We start from the raw sequence: 11,990 nt of genomic DNA on the forward strand, positions 1-11,990 counted from the left end.
TAAAATGCAACTGTCGTGCTAATGCTTAGGAAATTTTTTTAAATGGGTTTTAAGCATGCATCAGTTATCAAGGAGACATGCCAAGGTGGCTCAGTTGATTTTTGGTGATACTAAGGAAGTTCCTGACTCCTGGTCCTGCAACGGAATAAAAAAGAAGCCAGACTGCCTTTGACACTCACTGGGATATTCATCATCATTTCAATAAGGGAGGATGGAAAAGGTGATTACTTCAGAAGCTCATTATCTTTCTCCAGTCCTTATGCCTATAATTCCAGTACTTGCCAATCCCGAGCAAGATTTTCCAGTTTAAAAATATGGCCAATATTTTCATAAGTCCTGCGTTTTATAGGCTACTGTTAGGAGCTGAAATAAAGAAGGAAAGCACTGGGACGTTTTCATGGTCAGAATATTGGTATGATTTTCTTTCCTTGAAAATAGAAGTGAAGTTCAGGATTAGACTGTGAATATATTTAGCCCTAAATATATTATGAATCGAAGCTTTCTTTATACTGGTCAGCAAAACTAAGAAGCCAGAGAAATGTTCTAATCTAATCTATCAGGTACAATACTCTAAGTAAGTTAAGGTAGCTACAATTAAAATAATTCAATCAATATTAATTAACCCTCCCCCACTTTATGTACATTTCTTTGGCAGAGGCTTAAGAGGAAATAGACCAATGAGGTATAAGCTCTGCTTTTATGCCAATGTATTTAGGAAAAATAAATGGTGAAAATTGATCCTAATCTAATTAGTAGAATCTGGAGAGACTTTTTAAATGCCTGAGCCCTGTTCACAAATCAGGACTACTAGGATTAGACCATCCCTATCATAGGCTGAACTAAAATCCAAACCTAAGCCTCCAGCTCTCCCTGGCTTTAGAGATAGGGGCCTGCATAGGTAAAGCATCCTTCAAAAGGAGCCATTAACACCACTTCCACCAGAGGGTGCAGTCTTCCTGAGACAAAGGAAGCCAGAACAAACTCCTCCTCTAGAACCAGTGACGGAAGAATGAAATGGAAAGAGCTGTACATTTCATGACACATAAATTCTTTTCTTTTGGCTCATGAACCCAATAAACTCAAATTTCTTTGAGTTTTAAAACCCTTTGATTGTAAGTATTTTCAGCAGGTTTTCTTTCTTCATCATATAGTTATTGCAAAGTCTGATGTATGAGGCATTGGGCTAGGTGTGAAGATCCAAGAGTCAGTCAAGGAAACATGATTGGATACATAAGGTAGTAGAATTTTCAGACAAAAAACAGCTTCTACCGTTTAGGTACCTGTTGTTAAAATGTGCTTAATTTAGTTGACCATTGTTAGGTCAGGAAAAGTTGAAATTCACTATACAAAGTGAATTTCAAATCTTCCTAACCTATAAGAGTTTGTACTTGTAAACATAATATTAATATGTTCTATAATCTGGCCCCAAATTTTTACCCCAAAGGTATTTGGTATAATATCTGAAAAAGTGTTCATTCTAGTTAGACTAAATTCTCAATCCAATTAAAATGGACTGTCTCACCGCACACCTTACATTGGATGACTTTGCACAATGTGGTTACCTCAGCCTGGAATCCCTCTTCCTATTCCTCCAACCTTTCAAGTCCTAAAAACCAGCTCAAATTTTATGTAATCCATGAGTAATTCTCCAAGTGAAAGAAATTTATTTGAGTTTAAAAACCCTTTGGTTAAAGTATTTTTAGCAGGTTTTCATTCTTCATCAAATAGTTTTTGCAAACTCTAATGTATGAAGCATTGGGCTATGTGTGAAGATACAACAGTCAATGAAACATAATTAGACATAAAGCCTAGTGGAGTTTTCAGACAAGCAAGCAAATCACTATGATACATATGTATTTGTAGTTATAACATAGGGTTCTAGGCAACTAAAAGACAGTCATACATCCCAGGTTCAGGGTGTCAGGAAAGACTACCTTGAAGACATGAAGCCAAGGTGCCTAGGACTTAGCAAATCATTGGTTGAAATAATTAATGAGCTCCAAGTTAGAATTCTGATTATGCCAATTTGCTGCTCAAAAACTTGTAATGACTCCTTATATTATACAAAATAGAACCTATGCTGCTAAGCACTTATAGCTGCACAGGAGTTAGTCAAATGAATAGGGGCCCAGGAATGGGAAGGAAGAATATTTGTGGCATAAGAAAAGCCTGAAGGAGAAAGAGCATGGCACACAGGGTAGTGGGCATACTTTCTCACCCTCCTAACCCACCACATAATAAAACAGGCTTTTTTTGCCTTTGCGTAAAAATACTGTAGCATCTTTAAAAAAAAATCTTCACCACGAGATGGTAAGTTTTTTACTTGAAAGAAGTTGTTATATTCTTCAGAATGTCATATACAAACAGCCTAGGACACTGATCAATTAATTGCCTTGAATTTGATTAAATATTATACAATATCATTGTTGAAAGGAGAAAGGATCACTATATAGGAAAATTAGATATTTTCTCTTTATATACTTTATATGCTGTCAAATGCTATCAATTATTAATTAATATTGAATTTAGCTTCTGTGCTTTCCAGAAATTATTTTAACTTACTCTCCACTCTGATGAGTCCAGTTTTTGTACATAGCCAACTACAATGGTTTCTATCTGTCAGAGCTCTCCACTTACAATGTCAGAAGTTGATGTAATGTTTAATGCTTCAGGCGTCAAAAGTCTTTCATCTTTCCAGACTATACTGAGCTAGAACTTTATCCCTTCTTTCTGTAGGGTCAGTGAAAAATGTAATTCCATCTATATTCACTTTTACTGTGGTTTAAAACATGAGCTATAACCTAGGAAAACATGTGGTGGTCACTTAGCAAATATCACCGCTGTCACACTTCTTTTCCCTAGAGTGACATTAATGCCTCTTCGATAATGCCTCTCATAAGCTTCTGTTTCTTATTGGTCTTACCTTTCTTCTTTTACTTTTTTTGAATGAAGAATACAAATAAATTTTTGGGTTTTTTTTTCTGAACCAGTTGTGAGTAGTTTAAAAATTTGATATTCCATCAATCCCAAACTCTTGTGTGCAATTCCTGAAAACAAGGACATTTTCTAACATAACCACAATATGACCATCAAAATCAGGAAGTTAACACTGGAAAACAAATATCGTCTGTTATAAGATGAATTGTATTCCTCTCCTCAACATTCATACATTGAAGTACCAACCCTCAGTACCTCAGGATGTGATTCTATTTGGAGATAAGGCTTCTAAAGAGGAAATTAAGATGAGGCCTGTCTAATCCAATCTGATGAGTGTCCTTATGAGAAGAGAAAATTCAGACACGAAAAGAGACACTAGGGGTGCAGATGCACAGAGAAATGATTACGTAAACAAGCAACAAGAAGAAGAAATCTGCAAGCCAAAAAGAAAAGCCTCAGAAGATACCAACATTGCTAGCACCTTGATCTTGGAAATCCAGCTTCTAGTGCTATGAAAAAAAGTAGTTTTTTAATTGTTTAAGCTATCCAGTCTGTTATTTTGTTATGGAAGTCCTAGCAAGCTAATATACCAATGAATATACAAACCCCATTCAAGTATTTTAAGTTGTCCAATAATAAAATGTATAGTGAAATATCCAAACAATTGTCAACTGTATTTAGTCATGGTTCTTTATTCTCAATAAATCTGGAACAGTGGCTCGTTCTTCCATTGACTTTCATGATTGTAACACTTGAAGAATAGACTTGCAGAGCTATTTTATAGAAATACATTTAATTTCTCTTATAATTTCTCATGATTAGATTCAGGCAATACATACTAATTTAGTCTCTGAATCCTGTGTTGTACTTTGACCCAGTGCTTGTGATATGAAGTTGATCATTTGATTAGGCTTTTGTTTGCTGTGATTATGTAATTTAAAGGTAGTCCTTTTCCTTTTATAATTATTTAAGTTTGTTGTTGGTGTGTTATTTTTCATGGGGAAATAGTTTGAGACTATGTATGTATCCTGGTTGCTATACTTTGGATGTTGTACCCTCCAATCTTTATGTTGAAATTTAATTCCCAGTGCAGAGGTGTTGAAAGATGAGGCTTAGTGGAAGGTGTTTGGGACATAGGAGTGGATTCCTTATGAATAGACTAATGTCCTCTCTCAGGGGTAAGAGAGTTCTTGCAAGAGGCCTGGTTGTTTAAAAGTGCCTAGCATCTCGCTCCTCTCTTGCTTGATTACTCTCTTGCTGTGTGGTATTTGCACATGTCAGGTCTCATTTACCTTCTGCCACAAATGGAAATGGCCTGAGGCCCTGATCAGGTGCCCAATCTTGAACTTTTCTAGCCATCAGAATTGTGGGCCAAATAAACCTTTTTTCTTTATAAATTACGCAGGCTTAGGTATCCTTTATAGCAACACAAAACAGACTAATACGCTGATTCTTGTCAAAATTTTAAGCACCATTTTTAGCATCCATAGATGATTCTTGCCTGAATCAAGTTCTATGATGTTTACCAGATGGTGCATTTTTAATTCCTTCATTCCTTCTACATACATAATTTTCTTCCATAAGGGAAGATTTATCTTATCTCCATTTACTTATTCATTCATTTATATAATTTATATATTTATTTATGTTAACGTTTAAATCATACCAGATTTTAAAAATTGGAGTCTCTTCAAGCTGGCATCCATGTTCTTTTGTCATGTCTTCAACATTCTTTGATGTTTTCCTTTACATCATGATGTTCGAGGCTCATCTTTTACTGTCCTACTCCTAAAGTTAGTGATTTCCTCAAGAAAACTTGCTTCTTGTTAATGACAATTATATTAATATTTAGAAGCCAAGATCCAGGTACTAAATGAGCTCATTGCTATTGGGGTGTCACTTCTCCCAGACCCTTCCAGTTTAGGGGACAGAAAATATGTGTGTGTTTGTGTGTGCATGTGTACGTGCGTGTATGTAAAACCATGAGTTCACACTGATAACTCTAATTCCAATCAATATCATAGGTTTTTTCTTTTTATATTTATAGCTTTCCTTTCTAACAGTGAGAAATATGTCTGCTCAATATTTGTCAATGTAAATAGACTCAGCTCTTATGTATGTAAAAATCTGTTGCTGAAAATATCTAGTGTGAACACCCTCTGCCCCTTTCTTAGACTCTACCACTCCATGCTTGGCCACTACCACAACCCCCTGTTTGAACATCCTCTTCCTCTAGTCAGGGTAGCAACTCTATTTCACCAACACAAGACTAACTTGCTCTTACCCCCAGGTGAATTATTCAGAAAAGAAGAAAGCAAAGAAACATACAAACTATTTTTTAAATTAAACATTTTTTCTAACTGTGGAATTAAAGATGTTCCAGGTATCTACCAAAATATGAGTTAAAGTGATTCCAAAATTGCAATAATCTTTCTTCCATAACTGCTTAATTAGGCAATCTTATTAAATTCGTCTAATGAGATTACAAACAGGTGCTCATTTGGACAAGCTCTTCCCCTCTTTAGCTTTTTCATTCTGTTTTCTGAGTATTGAAAGCAGTTGTGTTCACCTGATTTAACAAAGACCACCTGGGAGCATACACCTTAAATCTATAAAATTTTTATGTCACATGTATCTTAACAAAAGAGAAAAAAATACTGGTGCATTAGTCCTACTCCACAACAATAAAATCATAATCTCTGGTGTAAGGCCCAATCACGGGCATTTTCTAAAACAGTCTCTTTGCTTTTTGTTTGTTTGTTTGTTTTTTGAGACGGGGTCTTACTCTGTTGCCCAGGCTGGAGAGCAGTGACACGATCTCCATTTGTTTCTATCTTTAGTTAACAATCACTGTAAAATATTCTCCCACTCTTTAAAACTTACTTACATAAAAATAACATATGGCCTAAACTTACTGTAATAGGCAAATACTAAACTTGCCCTTATACTCTCTACCCTGTGGGGTTCTGCCCTTATATAATCTAATTTCCTGTAATGTGGGTAGGATTTGCTTCTAGCCAATAAAAAGTGTCAAATGTGAAGTAATTTCACAGATGTAATACAGGTTCCAAATCAGTTAATTTTGATTCAATCAAAATAAGATTATCTTGGGTGAGCATGTGTCTTAGTCTATTTTCTGATGCTATAACAGTGCTACCCACTAGGTAATTTACATAAAATAAAAGTTTATTTCTTACAGTTCTGGAGGCTAAGAAGTCCAAGAACATGGTACTGGCATCTGTTGAGGTTCTTCTTACTGCATCACCACATAAGAGAAGGTTGACGAGCAAGACAGACCAAGGCACCAGAGGCCAGACTTTCTTTGTAACAACCTACTGTCAAGATAACCTCTCGCTGGAGAACAATGTTCATTCATTCATTCATGAGGGTTCTGCCTCCATGACACAATTACCTCTTGTTAGGCCCCACCTCCAAAAACTGCTGCATTTGGGATTAGTTTCCAACACATAAACTTTTGGGGGGGGGTACATTCAAACCATAGAAACATGACTTAATTAGTTAAAATCCCTTAAAAGTGGGACTGAGCACTCCCTAATGAGAAAGACTCTCTCTTCATCACTGGCTTAAAAAAAGTAAGCGCCTCTGTTGTGAGAAGCCCTATGGAGAGGGGAATGTGGCAAGGAGCTGCAAAGAGTGCAAGCAGCTACTAGAAGCTAAGGGTGTCCTCTTATTGACAACCAACAAGAAATCTGTACCTCAGTCCTACAACTACAGAGAAATGAATTCTGCCAACAACCGGAGATCTTAGAAGATGATCTTTCTCTAGCAAATCTTTCAGATGAAGATGCAGCCTGACCAATACCTAAACTGAAGCCTCTTACACCCTAAGCAGAGGACCCCATTAGGTTGCATTCAGACTCCTGACCCACAAAAACTGTGAAGTAGTAAATGTGTGTTGTTTAAAGTTGCTAAATAAATGAGATGATGTATTATGCAGCAATAGAAAACTAATACAATTGCCAACATCATTTTGGTTGCTGGGCAATATTCCCATTCTTTAAAGGGGATTTATCTTATTTGGTTATACACATGAAAAAGTAGAGAATTGGACATAGGGTAGATGATCAGGAAATATTTTTTATTGACTGGAAATATCCGATAAAAATAATCTATGGTATAATGAATATGTCTTGTCTGTTACATTTCAGCTTTCCAAAGAATATTTACACTTCCAAGGAGCACATTTGATGTCACTGCCTTCTTCCTTTGTGCTGAAAGTCAGTAGTTTGACGTATTTTTTCTAATGGGTCTCTTATAAAATGCATATTTCAGTCCCCCCTCCACAGAAATAATATGTTAAAACCTTACCCTAATAAAAGGGTATTAGAAAGTAGGGACTTTAGGAGGTAATGAGGCCATGAGGGTGAAGGCTTCATTATGGGATTAGTGTTTTTATATGAAGAGAGAACAGAGGAGAGATTCTCTCAATTAGATAGATTACTAGATAGATAGATAGACAGACAGATAGATAGTTATAGATGTAGACATACATATAGATATCTGTCACCCGCCCTTCCCTCCCTCTGTCTGCCATGTGAGGATACAGCACAAAGTTGTCCATCTGTAAACTAGGAAGAGGACTCTCGTGAGAAATCAGGCAGGCCAGCCTCTTGATCTTGTACCTTACAACGTCCAGAATTGCTAGCAATAAATTTCTATTGTTTAAGCAAGACAGTCTATGGTATCTTGTTATAACATCCCAAGCTGACTAAAATAGGGTCAAGTTCTGCCTTGGGACATTGGCGAATAGCTTTTATAAAAATAAATCAGTGAGTGTAAAATATACGCACTGAGAGCATTTTAAATTTTATAGTATTGTTATCTTCTTTAATGAAAACAATATCAATTGAATTAAGCCCAACTTCATCACACTCATTCATACTTACTCAAGCCATCAATATATACATATTCTTCAATCAGAAAAACTATGAAAGTTCTTTTTTTTCTTTCCTCTAGTGTAATATGGCTCTTACAATGTTTATAAAAATGCTTTTATACAAATATTCCTAGGATGAAAAAAAAGACTTTCTCGTAAGTAAAATTTGGCCTGGAGGGAAAAATAAAACATGGTAGGTTAGAGCTGGAGATAATAAAACTTCTGAGCAAACTTTGAAGCTCTCTGAAAGTACTAGAGCAGCTTTTGATAAGTGCTATCACTGTGTGCAAGTGTCTGATTTGGTCTTAAATTTTGTCACTCTGTTTATTCCGCATAACTTCACACTTCAGCCAAATTTGTTTCCATGTGTTTTATGTCCTCTGAGCCTAGTTTTCTAGTTCAAACTGGGCTACATGACTTCACTGTAATTTCTAACTACTATCCTATTTAAAAAAAAGTTCATGTTCTACCTTCTCTATAAGAAAGGCTAATACTCCTTTGAATTTTCAATATATAATATAGCAAACTATCTTTCTGGTAAAGGGAAGGACGAAAGGAGGAAACTGTGGGCAATGAGTTACTCAAGGCAGCTTGCTATAAGATTTTTGTTTATTTTTTAATATTTTCTTTTCTAAAATAATTTCAACTTTTGTATTAGATTCAGGCAGTACCTGTGGAGCTTTGTTACATGAGTATATTGTGTGAAGGGTGAGAATGTAAATTAGTTCAGATACTGTAAATTATTTTTCATTATTGAATACTTTATCTTTTTACAGCAGTTTTGGGTTCATGGCAAAATTAAGAGGAAGTTAAAGAGATTTCACATATGCACCTTACCCCTATACATGTGAATCCTCCTCCATCATCAACATTCTCCACCATAGTAGTACATTCATTATAATTGATGATCTTACATTGACACATCATAATCACCCAAAGTGTAATTTACATTAGGGTTTGCTCTTGGTGTTGTACATTCTATATGTCTAGAAACATGTGTAATGACATGTATTTATATAGTACCATACAGAGAATTTTCATTCCCTAAAAATCTTCTGTGCTTCACCTATTCATCCCCTCTCTCTCTTAATGCTTGGAAACCACTAATCTTTTGCAGTATGCTATAAGTGATATTTGTGACTATAAGGCTAATGATGGCCATAAGGCCCACTCAAACATCTCGCAGAACCTATGCTATGTGACACTTAGCAATATGATATAACATGGGCTGGAGACTTTTAATCCTGGCCGAGGGATTACTAAGTATTTATAATGACAGCACTTAAAAACACTGGTTGTCCTAGAGACAAGGACACCTCAGCACAGATGCAACTTTCGTAAACCTTAAAACAAATCTTACTCTTATAAGAATAGCTTAAACTCCCTTTATGAAGCAAACACCTGTTAACAGACCTGGAGTGTATGTAAGTATAAGAAAGGGGGAACAATTCCCTAACCTCTGAGAATCGTCTCCAGATGGAGACCCTCCCAGTCAGGCACTCTTCTAACACCTGAGTGGATATGGCCCAGCCTATGATCCAGCTCTCACTGTCCATCTTGTAAGAGTACTCCCAGAATAAACATCAGATTCATCTTTAGTGTGAATTGGACCAAAGGGAACATATCATCCCTGGGAGAGTTGGTTAACAGGGGCCACCCAAGACCCCTAAACATGACATCTTTTTGCTGTCACCATAGTTTTGCCTCTTTAAGAATGTAATGTTGTTGAAGTCATACAGCATGTAGCTTTTTTCAGTTTATCTTCTTTCACTTGGTAATACTTATTTAATGTTTCTCCATGTTTCATGGCTTAAAAGCTCATTTCCTTTTAGAACTGAATAACATTCCCTTGTCTAGCTATGCTACAGTTTATTAACCCAATCACCTATTGAAGGACATCTTGGTTGCTTTCAAGTTTGAGAAAATATAAATAAAGTTGCTACAAATATCCATGTACAGGATTTTCTGTGGACATAATTTGTATTGCTAGGTTTTATGGTACGGTATGTTTAGTATTATAATAAACCATGAAATTGTCTTCAAAATCCACTCTACAATTTTGCATTCCTACCGGCAATTAATGAGAGTTCTTGCTATTCCATATTCTTGTCAGTACTTGGTGTTGTCAGTGTTTTAGATTTTGGCCATTCTAGTAGGTGTGTAGTGGTATCTCATGGTTGTTTCGATCTGCATTTCCCTGACGACATATGTACTAGTCAGGGTTCTCTAGAGAGATAGAACTAATGGAATAGGTATATATATATAAAGGGGAGTTTATTAAGTATTAACTCACATGATCACAAGATCCCAAAATAGTCCATCTGCAGGCTGAGGAGCAAGGAGAGCCAGTCTGAGTTCCAAAACTGAAGAACCTGGAGTCTGATATTTGAGGGCAGGAAGATCCGGCACAGGAGAAAGATGTAGGCTGGGTAGCTAGGCCAGTCTCTCTTTTCACATTTTTCTGCCTGCTTATATTCTAGCCATGCTGGCAGCTGATTAGATTGTGTCCACCCAGGTTAAGGGTGGGTCTGTCTTTCCCCACTACTGACTCAAATGTTAATCTCCTTTGGCAACACCTTCACAGACACACCTAGGGTCAAATCCTTCAATCCAATCAAGTTGACACTCAGTATTAACTATCACAAGTCCACCCCTTGTCAACTTGAACCCACACATATCTCCTGAGATCATACATAATCTTCAAATAAAGACAATAATGAGGTCATAATTACACCTAACATAATACAACTATGCTTCGTACAACCAGAAATGCACCAATCCCCAACCCAAATACTATTACATAAAGTTAACAATACTTAAATGCTGATGTGAAATCAATAAATCTTATGTAACGTGATAAAGGAGAAAGGAAATAAAATGAAGATATTTCTTTAGTACAAGCATATACATGCACAAACATGTTTTTAACAAAAGAAGGAAGAAATACTCATGACAATTATAGTCCTTGTTTCTGCAGCTGGTCACGTGGCTGTAGCTGGTATAGATGACTACCTTCTTCTACTACACATTCTGTATTCCCTTTGCCTTCAGCAAGCATCTCAGCAGGTCATGGTTCTTTTCCTTGTTGAGTGACACAAACCTTCATTCCTGAAGGGTCTGGGTTATTTGTGGTCCTGCCTGAATTAGGCTGTTGTAGTTTTGCATTGACCTTAATCACAGGCCATGGTAATACTAAAAGACACCCTAATGGATCTCCTGTATTCTATGCATACTCTTTCTTACCACCATTTTGGAGTAGTAGACTGATTTCATCTTGATAGTCTGTGTCAATCATCCCAGCCAACACTGTAACACCATTCTTGGCCTGTTGACTTAAAGGCAGGAGGATGCCAAAGTGTCCAGATGACAATCTTAACTTCCAGTTTAATGGAGTCATTGTTGTGTGTGCTTAGTTCCTCCCTCTGGAACTAGGACCTCTAGGCCAGCAGAATGTAATGTCATGAGAACAGGATGTAAAAATTTTGCTAGTGATGGTAATGGTGGCACCATTCACCATCACTACGGGAGATGCAATACTGTTTTTAATTTACAATTTTTCTAGGTAGAGGCAGCTCTAATGGCTTCCATTTGGCCTTACCCACCATAATAGCCCTCACTGTACCAGTCAGGGAGCAAATGTTGGGGTTCTGCCAGCTGCTAAGTATGTCTATGCCAAGTATGCATTCTGGCACTGGGGAAATGACCACAGGATGAGTCCGGGGGCCCATTGTAAGTGAGACCTGAAGCAAAACTCCATTGAATACTTGACCTCCATAAGCCCTACTTTAACTGGAGGACCACAGTGACGTTTTGGGTCCCCTGGAATCAACATCAGGTCAGAGTTAGTGTCCAGTAGTCCCCAAAAGGTCTAATCATTTCCCTTTCCTCAATGCACAGTTACCTTGGTAAAAGGCCAGAAGTCTCCTTGGGGAAGGATGGCAGAAAGATTTACAGCATAACTTGTTGGTAATGTAGTGGGGTCCTTCCTCAAAAGGACCCAGTCTTCCCTTCATTCAAGGGGTTCTGGGTCTGTAAACGGTCTGGGAATTGATTGAGGGGTCATGATTCTTTGTTTCTGTGATTCAAATTATTATTTTGTTCATTCGAACTAGAAGATTTCTGCTTATATAAATCAAGTAGGAATGCAGTAGGCATC

Source organism: Homo sapiens, chromosome 6, assembly GCF_000001405.40.
Source record: "Homo sapiens chromosome 6, GRCh38.p14 Primary Assembly".
NCBI classification, from domain to species: domain Eukaryota; kingdom Metazoa; phylum Chordata; class Mammalia; order Primates; family Hominidae; genus Homo; species Homo sapiens.